Source organism: Homo sapiens, chromosome 1, assembly GCF_000001405.40.
Source record: "Homo sapiens chromosome 1, GRCh38.p14 Primary Assembly".
NCBI lineage: Eukaryota > Metazoa > Chordata > Mammalia > Primates > Hominidae > Homo > Homo sapiens.
The window spans coordinates 240,257,716-240,272,655 of NC_000001.11; the positions used below are offsets into that span (position 1 = coordinate 240,257,716).

Below are 14,940 nucleotides of genomic sequence, written 5' to 3' on the forward strand. Positions count from 1 at the left end.
TTTGAGGCTGATGGTGAATAATGGGGGAAAATGGTGGATTTTGAAGATTTATGATATAAAACCCAAAAGCTCTCTTCAAACATTAAAAAAAACACTGTTTTGAATACTTTAGGTAATGACGTGAGATCTTTTCTCTGAATTTGTTCTTCATTTAGGATTTTTTAAAATGCTAGTAAGCATATTGGAGTTCAAATTAACATTTTCCCCTTTTACTTTCTTTCTCGAGCAGGTTGTCAAGTTATTAAGCAACAAAAGATCACAAGCAGTTGGAATACTAATGTCTAGCCTTCATTTAGATATGAAAGACATACAACATGGTAAGTGTCAAAATGAAAATTTAGCTTCTGAATATTAAAATTTGGGCTGAGGGATATGATGTTTGTTGGTAATGTTATTTCAAACTTAGAGTTTCTGTGTAAACCGAGGTTAGTATATATCCCGTAAGTGTGATCAAGCTATCTCCCATGATTGTTTCTGGAAGGATTACTATTAATTTGCCTGTGGTGTTATTTATATACCTTACTAACAGTCTAATTATCATGTGACATTATTATCTTAGTTCAGGCTACTATAACCAAGTACCCCAGACTGGTGGGTGATAAATAAGAGAAATTTATTTCTCACAGTTCTAGGAGGCTGAAAGTTCGAGATCAGGGTGCCAGCATATTCGGTTCTGGTGAGGGCCGTCTTTCAGGTTGCAGACTGCCATCTTCTCCATGTATCCTCAATTGGCAGAAAGAAGGAAAGAGAGCTCTCTTGTGTCTGTTTTATAAGGGGACTGATCCCACGCACGAGAATTCTACCCTTGTGACCTAATGACCACGCGACCTAGTGACCACCACCTAGGATCCTGTCTCCTTGTACCTTCACATGGGAGTGAGGTTTGCAACATATGAACAGAAATATTTTCTGTTTGGAATTAGAGTGGTTCTTAACATTTTATAAATGGCTTTAGTGTCAATATTTTAATACTTGGATTCTACTGTACAATTGACGGCCATTCTTATGCCATATCCTCCTATGATATTTATGCTGAGAGATACTGCCCAAAGGTGAATAGAGTAATGAAGTGTAAATTCAGAGTGTCCCTTAAGCTGACTAGAACCTAAGAATAGATTTAAAGCAGATTGAATTATCCAATGGAATGCCAGTTTACCTATTAAAGAAATATGGTTTCAAGAATAACACAGACCTTATAATCACAAAAGCATTTAACTGGCTTTCTAGCTTACCCCTTTATGAATGTGGATTCTATTTGTTGGGCTTAAAATCTTGTGTGGGATAATTCATAAATAGCACAAGCTTGGTATGCCCTGTCAATTGATGAGTAACTCTTAATCACAATTTAAGTTTTTATTAAATTGTTTTGATGGGGAGGAGACTTCCTCAAGCTGAAACATTTGGGGTAATAGTCATAGAAGAGAAAGCCAAGGCTGGCGCCAGGCAGTACTTGGTGTTTCTAAAGCTGGCAGATGTAGCCCAGTTAAGTCATAGGATGAAATCTGAAAATAATGATATGGTTCTTTCCTTCAGTCAAATATTCAACTCGGGTTGAGTTGATAATGAGAACCTTATGAACAAGAGTCCGCCTGACATCTGTGTCTGTGGTAAAGCCAGTGAGAGTTCATTGAAAATTTGCTTGCTTTAACATGCAACGCTAGCAATAACATGGCATGAAAGGCAGTAGTTGAAGGGTCATACAGAATCATGCAGAAACTTTATCCCATTAGGATGTGAAGTGATTGCTTTAGTCCCTTTGAAACCCTGTACACTTTTTTTTTTTTTTTTTTAATATGGTGGCCTTCCAAGTCTAAAGCAGCAAGAGGTTGTGCCCTCCTGCAGGTAAAGTCCTATTCTGCCTTGGTGTATTGTCTGCAAACAGGATTTACATGTGTGAATCGCTTGTGTCCTCTAGAGCAAACTTGACTTCTCTCAGGATATGCCTCCACTGAGAAGTCCACAGAAGCATAAACATCATTGATTTTGGATATAGAAGTGGCCACAGAATTTATCTAGACCTCCAGCGTCATTTTTAAAAAATACTTTTTATTTCCATAGGTTTTTGGGGAACAGGTGGTATTTGGTTACATGAGTAAGTTCTTTAGTGGTGATCTGAGATTTTGGTGCACACATCACCCAAGCAGTATACACTGAACCCAATTTGTAGTCTTTTATTCCTCACCCCCTCCCACCCTTCCACCAAGTCCCCAAAGTCCATTGTATCACTTTTTATGCCTTTGCATCCTCATAGCTTAGCTCTCACTTATGAATGTGAGAACATACAATGTTTGGTTTTCCATTCCTGAGTTACTTCACTTAGAATAATAGTCCCCAGTTCCATCTAGGTTGCTGTGAATGCCATTAATTCGTTCCTTTTTATAGCTGAGTATTATTTCATCATATGGAATATGCCACAATTCTTTATCTACTCGTTGATTGATGGGCATTTAGGCTGGTTCCATATTTTTGCAATTGTGAATTGTGCTGCTATAAACATGCACGTACAAGTATCTTTTTCGTACAATGGCTTCTTTTCCTCTGGGTAGATATCCAGTAGTGGGATTGCTGGATCCAATGGCAGTTCTACTTTTAGTTATTTAAGGAATCTCCACACTGTTTTCCATAGTGGTTGTACTGGTTTACATTCCCACCAGCAGTGTAGAAATGTTCCCGTTTCACTGCATCCATGCCAACATCTATTATTTTTTTATTTTTTTTTAATGTGGCCATTCTTGCAGGAGTAAGGTGGTATCACATTGTGGTTTTGATTTGCATTTCCCTGATCATTAGTGATGCTGAGCATTTTTTCATGTTTGTTGGCCATTTGTATATCTTCTTTTGAGAATTGTCTATTTATATCCTTAGCCCACTTTTTGATGGAATTGTTTGTTTTCTTCTTGCTAATTTGTTTGTGTTCCTTGTAGATTCTGGATATTGGTCCTCTGTCAGATGTATAGATTGTGAAGACTTTCTCCCACTCTGTGGGTTGTCTGTTTACTCTGCTGACTATTCCTTTTGACACGCGGAAGCTCTTTAGTTTAATTAAGTCCCAGCTATTTATCTTTGTTTTCGTAGCATTTGCTTTGGGTTCTTGGTCATGAAGTCTTTGCTTAAGCCAATGTCTAGAAGGGTTTTCCCAAAGTTATCTTCTAGAATTTTTATAGTTTCAGGTCTTAGGTTTAAGTCCTTGACCCATCTTGAATTGATTTTTGTATAATGTGAGAGATGAGGATCCAGTTTCATTCTCCTACAGTGTCTTGCCAATTATCCCAGCAGCATTTGTTGAATAAAGTGTCCCTTCCTCACTTTATGTTTTTGTTTGCTTTGTCAAAGATCAGTTGGCTGTAAGTATTTCACTTTATTTCTGGGTTGTCTGTTCTGTTTCATTGTTCTGTGTGTCTATTTTTATACCAGTACCATGCTGTTTTGGTGACTATGGCCTTATAGTATAGTTTGAAGTCAGATAATGTGATGCTTCCAGATCTGTTCTTTTTGCTTAGTCTTTCTTTGGCTATGTGGCATTTTTATCGATAGGCAAAATAAGACCTGTGAGTGGTCCAGTTACCCTCTCAGTATCACGCAGCTCATTAATGAAATGGATTGAACTTGCACTCAGGCCCCTTCATTAACCAGTACTTTTTTTTTTTTCATTCAGACATGCTGCTTCTCCAAGATTGTGCTTTTTTTTTTTACCACCAGCATTGGTTTATCTAAAACAAAGTATATGTAATATTGTAATAAACAGCAAGAATCATTTTCTCTCCTTCTTTGCTGTCAGTACTCTAGGTTTTCATTTACTTTGTAATGTTTATATTTCAAAGTGCTCCATTAGAGTAATTAGTGTGTAAGGTTTGGATTCTAGGTATCAAAGTTCTAACCCTGGTCCTGCTGAGCACCACTTGCTCAGTCTGTTATTTGAATACAGGTTATTTCCCACAATAATAGATGTGGAGCATTCTCAGCAACACATACATTCAAAAGGCAGAGAGGAGAGAAGAGGTCAGGTTCCTAAGTTTATTAATGCGGCAAATATAAGGGGGCATCCCCAAATAATTACCTGTGTGTGTGTTAGTATATAAAAGTTATAATGAAGGCCTGAGCTGCTGGCTATTTGGTAATGTTCAAACTGGCCTACAGTTATAATACCTCTGAAAAAATCTCACCCTGTGGTTTATAGTAATTTGAAGTCTGAGATGAAAGTGCCTTCCAGAGAAGATTTACCCTTTTTGTGTGTGTGCTAGGGTCTGGGGGCCCTGTGGATTTAGGAACACCTTGAATCACACTCTGGGGGCTGTAGGAGGGTCCCTTCAGCCAGTGCTGTTTGTCCACTGAATGGGTTGGTTCCCCTGCCAGTATAGCCCTTTTTTTTAATTATTATTATACTTTAAGTTCTAGGGTACATGTGCACAACCAGTATAGTCCTTTGAGTCCCATTTCATTGTGGGGTATGTCTAGGATCTCTATGATGAGTGGGTTCTGGGCTTTGATATTTGGCCCCTCCCACCGTGAAACTGTCAAGAGAAAGTTGACATTTGTTAGGATAGGCAAATACACTCAGGGCAAAAGCAGTTTGTGAGCTGGATCACTTCTCTGAGTTCGCTCTTCATTTTGTTTAGCATGGTAATTATATCTTGTCAGCTCTTTGACGTCCTTATGATATTTTACAAACATGTTTTACTCAGCATTTTTAGTTGTTGTTAGTGGGGGGATTGATTTCAAATAATTTTGGCCTGTTATTCCCATAAATTGATATTATAAGAGTATCCTACAGCTTCATAGTGGTAGTTCACTTCTGTGAAAATTGATTAAATATTTTATACAATGTTTGGTCTGTATTTCAGGGGTCAGTGTGCTCTTCACAGATCTTAGGTCCATTTTCATAGATAACAGTAGCTGCAAAAGAATTTGCAATTCCATAAGCTTCAGCTTTATCCCCCAACAATGTCACGGTTAGATAGAAATACTAACTGGGATGCTTTAAGAGTAGAAGGGGATGTCATTGATAATATTGCCTGGATAACAAATGTAAAGTGAAAACTTTTACTTTTTTTTTTTTTTTTTTTTGAGACAGAGTCTCACTCTGTCATCCAGGCATAGTTCAGTGGCGCAATCTCAGCTCACTACAATCTCCGCCTCCCAGGTTCAAGCAATTCTTATCCCTCAGCCCCCCGAGTAGCTGGGATTACAGCCACCTGCCACCACGCCCAGCTAATTTGTGTTTTTAGTAGAGACAGGGTTTCACCATGTTGGCCAGGCTAGTCTCAAACTCCTGACCTCAAGTGATCCACCCGCCTCAGCCTCCCAAAGTGCTGGGATTACAGGCGTGAGCCACCTCACCCATCCCCAAGAACTTTTCAGATAAGCTAGTAGTATTGTCACCCTACTACCAGATCGAACTGAAGCAAGTTTCAGACTGAACCCTCCCCCACACACAGATATATATTACACTGGTATTTCCTGGCCATCTCAAGCAAAATAGTTTGAAAACCCTGCTTCATAAACTTGAGGTTGTTTACCTCTCTGTCTTTATAGGGGCTCTCACTGTGATCTATCTGAAAGGTTTGCTTCAGACAGATATAAGCTTGGCACAGATGTAGGAATCTGCTACCCTCATAGTCTGCACGAGACATCTAGAAAGTCAACTCAGCCAGTGGCTGCACCCAGTACTGTTTAGGTCCTAGGCCTCAGGCAGCCTCCTTAAAGAACAAAGCTATTAGCCCCCAGTAGACTCTTATTCTAGCTATGGAAGAGGTAGGAGTGGAGCATCTCTAAGAGATTGCAACTAATCCACACATCCAGAATGACTTTAATTTCACCATTGAAAGCCCATTTCAGACATTAGTATGCGTATTAAAGCCTCGGTTGTTGATTTAGATAGAGATAGCTGAGCAGCTTGCGTTAACTGCCTCTGGAGAATGGCCTTTCTTGCGTAGTGCTGGTCAGCCATCCCTGAGGTGTGGTCTCTTAGACACTCCCTCTGCAAAAATATTTGAAAATAGATTACAGATCTCATCACAAGGAATACCTAATATCTATTTAGTAGTCTGACACGTTAAACTTACGGAAACACGTTTCAATATACTGCAGGGATACCCAGCCCAGGGTATGAATGGCTCTGATTCCTTCCTGTCTTTTATATATGTCCTGTCTAAAGCTAACTGGAATTATGGGCCCTTGGCAGTAAATGCTATGTTACCTCCTTGCTGAAATTTCTATCCTGTTTAAACATGATTTATGAAAATCATATATCTTAAAATTTAATGAGATAATAATGTAAACTACCTAGCATTCCATCAGAAGTACAGTTGATACAGTCAATAAAATTGTAGTTATTTTTATGTTTTAATTTCTGAGCCTAATGATTGCTTTCCCAAACAGTTTATTTAAATTATATAGTTAAGGGTACCTTACAAGGACAATGCACAGGCTCTTAGATTTCAATTAGAAATGCCAGTGAGATCTCAGTGTTAATTATGACTTCTCATTGGAATCATGTCATGTTGCTGCTGTTTTGGTCTGCCATTGTCCTCCCTCAAAAGGGTCCAAAGCTGAGAAGCCTTATTCTGATAATTGTTTGGGAAGAAATTGTCCTAATGTAGCAGGTACCAAAAAGAGAACCGGTATTGGCATACAGGATACATATTCTTTTTTAAATTTGTTTATTTATTTTTATTTTTTTATTATACTTTAAGTTCTAGGGTACATGTGCAGAATGTGCAGATTTGCTACATAGGTATATACATGCCATGGTGGTTTGTTGCACCCATCAATCTGTCATCTACATTAGCTGTTTCTCCTAATACTATCCCTCCCTTTGCCCCCTACCCCCTGACAGGTCTTGGTGTGTGATGTTCCCCTCCTTGTATCCATATGTTCTCATTGTTCAACTCCCACTTATGAGTGAGAACATGTGGTGTTCAGTTGTCTGTTCCTGTGTTAGTTTGCTGAGAATGATGGTTTCCAGTTTCACCTATATCCCTGCAAATGACATGAACTTATTCTTTTTTATGGCTGCATAGTATTCCATGGTGTATATGTGCCACGTTTTCTTTAACAGGTTACCTGTTCTAAGATCTTTTATAATCATATCTTTTTATTAGTATTTGAAGAGATGGAATTAGCTATTGGTTTGAACTTTGCTTCTTCCGCCTCCTTCCCTCTGATATTATTGGTGATAGTTGTGTAAAATTGTCCAGAAGAGGGGAGTTAATTCCCACTTTATAGTAGGGGGAATTCAGGTTTATAGATGGAGTCTGCCTAGTTCTTTATCTCCATAGGGCCAGAATGGGCATCCAATTTTTTTGAGTCCTAGCTCAGGGCTCTCTGCTCTGGGCAGTGTGTTAGCTTGTTACTGAATGAAGCATGTGTTACCTAATAAAATCAGAATGCGCAACATATGCAAAAATAAAACTGGCAAACAGGCATACTACTTTTGGCTACCAGTTGTTTCATTTTTACAGTTGAAAATAAATTTATCAGACTTCATTTATTATGTGTCATATAATACAAATTTTGCAGTTTGCATATTGACTATGAAATTTTTTCACATCTGTGAATTAAATGAGGATAAAATTCTTTTAACAAAATTATTAACAGAGTTCCTTGCTCTTGATTGAACCAAGCAAAGAATGAAATACACTTATATGCCACATAACAACATTTTGGTCAACAACAGACCATGTATGTGATGGTGGTCCCATAACATTATAATGGGGTTGAAAAATTGCTATCACCAAGCTAGTTTGTAGTGTATCACATTACTTTTTCTAGGTTTAGATATGTTTCAATACACAAATGCTTATTATTGTAAGAGAGTTCTCACCAGTGACTGAGTCAGCTGGCACCTTGATCTTAGACTTCCCAGCTTTCAGAATTATGAGAAAATATATTTCTGTTTAAGCACCCCAGTTTGTCATATTTTGCTATGGCAGCCCAAGCTGTCCAAGACAGATTTGAATCTCAGCTCTGCCACTGGCTGGCTGAATAAACCTGGGCAAATTACTTTATATCTCTAGTCCTCAGTTTTCTCATTAGTTCAAAAGGCTATTGAGTTCTGATTGTACACACACCTGCACCCATATTAAGCACTTAATCAATGTTAGTTTCCTTCGTGTGTTTCTTAGGAAATGACCTATGTCTGTAGGCTTTGGAGGTGTTTGAAACTTAGGGCAACCAGTAAGAGAGATAACTTAAAGGGGTTTGTTTTTTTTTTTTTTTCCTTTTTTCATTGCCCTGAACAGACTCTGTGATAAGTCTTTGTCCATGGGACAAAAGGAGGGTGTAGAATCCAGAATCTGTTACTTCCTTTTTTTTTTTTTTAATAAATCAACTATTATTTTTGATTCAGGGGTACATGTGTAGGTTTGTTATCTGGGTATATTGCATGATGCTAAGGTTTTGGGTTTGATTGATCCTCTCACCCAGGTACTAAGAAGAGTACTCAATAGTTAGTTTTTCAATCTTTGTCCCTTTCTCCCCCATCTAGGAGTCCCCAGTGTCTATTGTTGCCATCTTTATGTCCATGTGTACCCAATGTTTAGCTCCCAGTTATAAGTTAGAGCTAGTGGTGAAGGTTTTTGGGGGGGTCCAGTTTCATTCTTCTACAAATGGGTAGCCACCTAGCACCATTTATTAAATAGGGAGTCCTTTCCCCATTGCTTATTTTTATTGAAGATTGGATGACGGTAGATGTGTGGCTTTATTTTTATTTTTGGATTCTCTATTCTTTTCCATAGGTCTTTTCCATGTGGTGTTTGCTTTTCTGTTCCTGCCTTAATTCACTTACATAGCCTCCAGCTGCATCCATGTTACTGCAAAGGACATGATTTTGTTTGTTTTTTGGCTGTGTAATGTTCCGTGGTATATATGTACCATGTTTTCCTTATCCAGGCCACCATTGATGCACACCTAGGTTGATTCTAAATCTTTGCTATTGTGTATAGTGCTGTGATGAACATATGAGTGCATGTGTCTTTTTGGTAGAACAATTTATTATTACAGAGACCAAAACAGCATGGTACTGGTACAAAAAGACACATAGACCTATGGAGAAGAATAGAGAATCCAAAAATAAAGCCACACATCTACAGTCATCCAATCTTCAATAAAATCAATAAAAATAAGCAATGGGGAAAGGACTCCCTATTTAATAAATGGTGCTAGATGGCCAACCATTTGTAGAAGAATGAAACTGGACCCCCAAAAAACCTTCATCACATATAAAAATTAACTCAAGATGGATTAAAGAGTTAAATGTAAGACCTCAAACTGTAAGAGTCGTACAAGAAAACCTAGGAAATACCATTCGGGATATTGGCTTTGGCAAATAATTTATGACTAAGTCCTCAAAAGTAATTGCAGCAGGAACAAAAATTGACAAGTGGAACCTAATTAAACTAAAGAGCTTCTGCACAGCACGAGAAACTCTCCACAGAGTAAACGGACAACCTACAGGATGGGAGAAAATATTTGCAAACTATACATTCCACAAAGGTCTTTTATCCAGCACCTACTAATACAAGAAACTTAAACAATTCAACAAGCAAAAAATAAATAGCCTCATGAAAAAAATGGTCAAAAGATGAAGCCATAAAAAAAAATGAGATCATGTCCTTTGCAGGGACATGAATGGAGCTGGAGGCCATTATCCTTAGCAAACTAACACAGGAAAAGAAAACCAAATACCGCATGTTCTCACTTAAAAGTGGGAGCTTAATGACGAGAACACGTGGACACATAGAGGAGAACAAAACACACTGGGGTCTTTCAGAGAGTGGAGGGTGAGAGGAGGGAGAGGATCGGGAAAAATAACTAATGGGTACTAGGCTTAATACCTGGGTGATGAAATAATCTGCACAACAAACCCTCATGACACAAGTTTACCTATGTAGCAAACCTGCACTTGTACCCCTGAACTTAAAAAAAAAAAAAAAAGAGACCTGCAACTTTAATTAAAACAACATATAACAAAATGAATTTTGCTATAGGCTAATTGATATAAACAAGAGTTAAGTTCATATGGCATATTTCTGGTCACTTTTAAATAAAGACCCCAAACACTTATAATATTAAACACTGAAGTAAATGTGAGCTATACATACATTTAATAAAGACTAATTTTTAAAGATGGGTAAAAGGTGTGAACACACACTTCTCAAAAGAAGACATACAAGTGGCCAACAAACATACGAAAAAATGTTCTACACCACTAATCATCAGAGAAATGCAAATCCAAATCATTATGAGATACCATTTTACACCAGTCAGAGCAACAGATACTAGCGAGGCTGTGAGAAGAGGGAACACTTATATACTGTTGGCAGGGGTATAAATTAGTTCAGCCACTGTGGAGAACAGTGTGGGGATTTCTGAAAAAAACGTAAAACACAACTCTCATTAGACCCAGTGATCTCATTACTGGGTATATATCTAAAAGGAACTGTTACTTCTGATTGAGTTGGGAGTGAGATAAGAGGGAAGAAATGGGAGTTAAGTTCAAGGGGAACATGTCTGAGGCAGATTTGATTGTTTTGTAGTTTGGCTTTTATTTTTCCGTCAGTTTTCAGTAAACTAGCTGAAATGCTTTTTAATACTGGGCTGTACCCATTTCTGATTTTTGAGTACAGATAAGTATGAGAATTATCTAACAGCTCTTAGAAGTTGAGCATGACTACATGTTTGGACTGTTTTATCTGCAAGGAGGACAACTTGTTTTGGAAACTTGAAAGGCTAAAATCTCCCCTAACTGTGTGGCTTCTTAAACATTGTCTCTGTGCTGTGAGAGTCAGCCATATTCTATATTAATTACTGTTGGCTCTGTAAAGCATGTGAAGGTAGTGGGGGAAGAAGTTTAGCTTTGTTGGGGAAATGAATATTGGTGTGGGCCATGAGTAGAATCTAAGTAGAGACATAGACAGATGCTTTTATTTCTTGCTTTGACATTTTATTTTTCCTGATAGTTAAACTAGTTTCTAGCTATGAATATAAAGTATAAGAACACTTTCATCTTTTTTTGCTGATGGCCATTCTAACAGGTGTGAGATAGTATCTCATTTTGGTTTTAATTTACATTTCTCTGATTAGTGATGTAGAGCATTTTTTCATTTATCAGTTGGCCATTTGTATGTCTTCTTCTGAGAAATGTCTGTTCAGATCCTTTGCCCATTTTCAATAGGGTTATTTGCCTTTCTGTTATTGAGTAGTTTGTTATATATTTAGACATATAAATATATTAGATATTAGCCCCTATTCAGTGCATGATTTGCAAATATTTTCTCCCAATTTGTGGTTGTCTCTGCACTCTATTGTTTTGTTTGTGTGCAGAAGCATTTTGATTTGATGCCATCCCATTTGTCTATTTTCTACTTTCATTGCCTGTGCTTTTGGGTCATATCCGAGAAATAATTGCCCTGACCAATGTCATGGAACCTTTCCTAACCCCTGTGTTTTCTTCGAGTAGTTTTATAGTTTTAAGTCTTTAATTCCTTTTGAGTTTATTCTTTTATGAAGGATGAAATAAGGATCTATTTTCATTTTTGTGTATATATAGATGTACAGTTTTAATAACACCTTTTATTAAATAGGCTGTCCTTTCCCCATTCTGTGTTCTTGACACCTTTGTTGCAAATCAATTGACTGTAGTTAGCTGGGTTTATTTCTGGACACTCCATTCTATTCCACTGGACGATGTGTCTATTTTTATGCCACCACCATACTGTTTTGATTACTATAGCTTTGTAATATATTTTCAAATCTGGTTGTGTGATTTCTCTGGTTTTGTCCTTTTTGATCAAGATTACTTTGGCTATTTGGTTTTTTTTGTGGTTTCAAATAAATTTTAGGATTATTTTTTCTATTTCTGTGAAGAATGACACTGGAATTTTGATTGGGATTACATTGAATCTGTAGATTGCTTTAGGTAGTATGGCCATTTTAACAATATTGAGTCTTCCAATCCATAAACACAGCATATCTTTCCATTTATTTATGTCGTCTTCAATTTTTTTCATCAATGTTTTATTGTTTTCAGTGTACAGATTTTTCATTTCCTTGGTTAAATTTTCTCCTAAGTATTTTTTGATGCTATTATAAATGGAACTGTTTTCTTTTTTCTTTTTCAGACTGTTGTTAGTGTATAGAAATGCTTCTGATTTTTATAGGTCGACTTTTGTATCCTGCAACTTAATTGAATTTATCAGTTCTAACAGTTTTTTGATAGAGTCTGTAGGATTTTCTATATACAAGATTATGTCATCAGCAAGCAGAGGCAATTTCATTTCATCCTTTTCTATCTGAATGCCTTTTATTTATTTTTCTTGCCTAATTGCTCTGGCTAGGATGTCCAGTACTATGTTGAACAGATGTGGTGAGAGTAGGCGTCCTTGTCTTGTTTCTGATCTTAGAAGAAAAGCTTTCAACTTTTCACCATTGAGTATCCTGTTAGCTCTTGGCTTATCATATATGGCCTTTATCATATTAAGAAACATTCTGTCTATACCCAATTTGTTGGGAGTTTTTATCATGAAACGAGTTTGCCAAGGATGTGGGGAAAAGAGAACTCTTCCATACTGTTGGTGGAATGTAAGTTAATATAGCCATTGTGGAAAACAGTGTGAAGATTTCTCAAAAAATAACAATAGAATTTCCACATCATCCAGCAATTTCACTACTGGGTATATACCCAAAGGGAATGACTTCAGTATGTCTAAGAGATGTCTATACTTCTATGTTCATTGCAGCATTATTACCAATAATCACACCTCGGATAAACCTCATTGGCTTCAGTAGTACTGCAACAGCACCTCATTGGCTTTGATAACTGCCACAGCACAAAGCTAATTGTATTATTATTCACAAGAGCCATGAAATGGAAACAACCTAAGTGTCCATCAACAGATGATTGCATTAAAATATATAATATATATATACACAATGAAATACAATTAAAAAACTAGGTAATTCTGTCATTTGTAACAACATGGACAAACCTAGAAGACATTATGTTAAGTGAAATAAGCCAGGGACAGAGAGACAAAATCTCTACGATCACATTTATATGTGGAATCTAAAAAAGTCAAAGTAATAGAGGTAGAAAGTAGAGTGGTGGTTACTAGAGGCTGAGGGGACAGGATGGATGGGGAAAGGGGAGACTTGGTCAGTGGGTACAAAGTCTCATTTAGATAGGAGGAATAAGTCCTGCTGGTCTATTGCACAGCATGGTGACTATGGTTAATAATAATGTATTGTATATTTCAAAATAGCTAAACAAGAGGGTTTAAAATATTTGAGATGATGGATATGTTAAATAAATAATTAAAGCACAAGAACACTTCTTTAAAAATCTGCAAATAACCCTTTGACCCCCCTAGGAACTTTCCACGATGGTTTTTTTTTTTTTTTTTTTGTGACTCTGTTTGCATGTATTTGGATAGCCTACACATTTGCACTTCTTTTATCCTGTTGGGGTTGCCACTGAATCATGGTTTTCTTATGAAATTTCCTATGGAACAAGTTGTACATTACAAACTCCAGGTCCTTTTCATAGAGTCTGGCTTCATTCTTGGAGACACAGGCTTTTTCGCTTCCCTATTAATTACCATAAGAAAGTTCATTCATCATCATTTGTTTATTTTTGTAATAGTCTCAAAAATTAGGCTCAGTGTGAGCAATGTTGTTTTTCCCCACTAGGCTTTTCAGTGTCTGATTTTTTTTTTTTTTTAATGAAACTCAAGCTTATAAGGCTTGCTTAGAAATTGCTTCATGCCCCCATTTTTTTAAACCTTTTTTTTTAAAGTGTTTTCCTCACATGGGATATAGAATTTTAAGACCTGTTTATTATATTTATTGAGACATTAAAAATGTACTAAATGCTGTTGGGAGGTTTAGTGAATGGTTTTCATTGAAATGTAAAGTCATTGAGAATTAGAAATTTGAGAAGAAAGTAGGCTCCAGTGAGCCTGTGTAACCTTTTCATCAATTGTAGCCTTGTAGTGGAGAAAAGTACATGTGAGATACTAGGCTTTCATAAAAACCTACTCTCAGAAATTTAATATGAGAATTTGTTTTAATTTAAAATATAAGTTCATTACCTAGAGCTTTTTATAAAAAGAAATACCTCATATGTCTTTTGAAATCACACATAAATTATTAGATCAAGGTCAAATGAATTATAATGTCTTTTACTACAAGTTCAGCAAAAAACTTGGGTTGAGCTTAGATTATATTTTTAATGACATTGTTCCATAGTTGGACTTTTTGATTATACTTCTATGGGAAGAAAGAATGCAATACTTGGGGTTGTACCAAAGCCATGAGCTTTGCATATGGTTATTCTTTTCCCTCATTGTACTTACTGTCTGAATTGAGAATCATGTATTTGTTTATTTGTTTGTTTGTTTTGGCCAACCTCTTGACCCTCACTAGGAGGGTGACTCTGTGAGCCTGAAGACAGCCCACTGCAGCTCAAGGCCTTCCTCCCCATAATGTTGCATCTGTTCTTTAAGATCAGTGGGTGACTGCGAATGGAATTGTCCAGGACCACATGGAGCATGCATGGAGGTAGAGCCCAAGTTTGACCACAGAGCACTTAGTGTGAGCCCATAATTAATCACATCAACTTTGACCCTTGAACTACTTTGTGTAAAAGGTGTGGTTTTTGCAAAAAGATTCCTTTGGCATAATCCTTGAGAGGGGTCGGATTGGCACTGTTATTTTGGGGCAAGGGGAAGCCCCTTTCATAAGTAGAGTTATGTTTGTATTTCAAAATTGGCTGATTGAAAGTTCTTTGTGTTTTGACAAGCACTTCTCCAGCATCCCTAAGTGGATACTCTCAGGATGCTCCCTGGCCACCTTTATCCAGTTGGATGAAGTGAGGATTCTGAGAGTTCTGGAGAAGATGCAATAATTGACACTTTTCACCTTTCCCTTATGGAGCCGCATGTG

At 37.1% G+C, this 14,940-nt stretch overlaps 1 protein-coding gene across 6 annotated transcripts in view, besides 1 other annotated feature; it reads left to right on the forward strand.

Moving 5' to 3' along the window:
• The window catches only part of FMN2 (formin 2), a 383,305-nt gene that overhangs the window by 165,833 nt on the left and 202,532 nt on the right, over nt 1-14,940 (forward strand). For all 6 annotated transcript variants that reach the window (NM_001305424.2, NM_020066.5, NM_001348094.2 and 3 more), the window contains one exon: nt 230-317. In NM_001305424.2, coding sequence (NP_001292353.1) covers nt 230-317 — 88 coding nt within the window. The remainder of the gene's footprint in view (nt 1-229; nt 318-14,940) is intronic.
• Nucleotides 58-1,257: an enhancer, noted in NCBI's record as "CDK7 strongly-dependent group 2 enhancer chr1:240421073-240422272 (GRCh37/hg19 assembly coordinates)". NCBI's record gives its function as "activates an origin of replication core promoter dependent on BRD2, BRD4, P300/CBP, MED14 and CDK7 cofactors, with strong dependence on CDK7, by STARR-seq in HCT116 cells {active_cell/tissue: HCT116}" and the evidence as "EXISTENCE:reporter gene assay evidence [ECO:0000049][PMID:35650434]".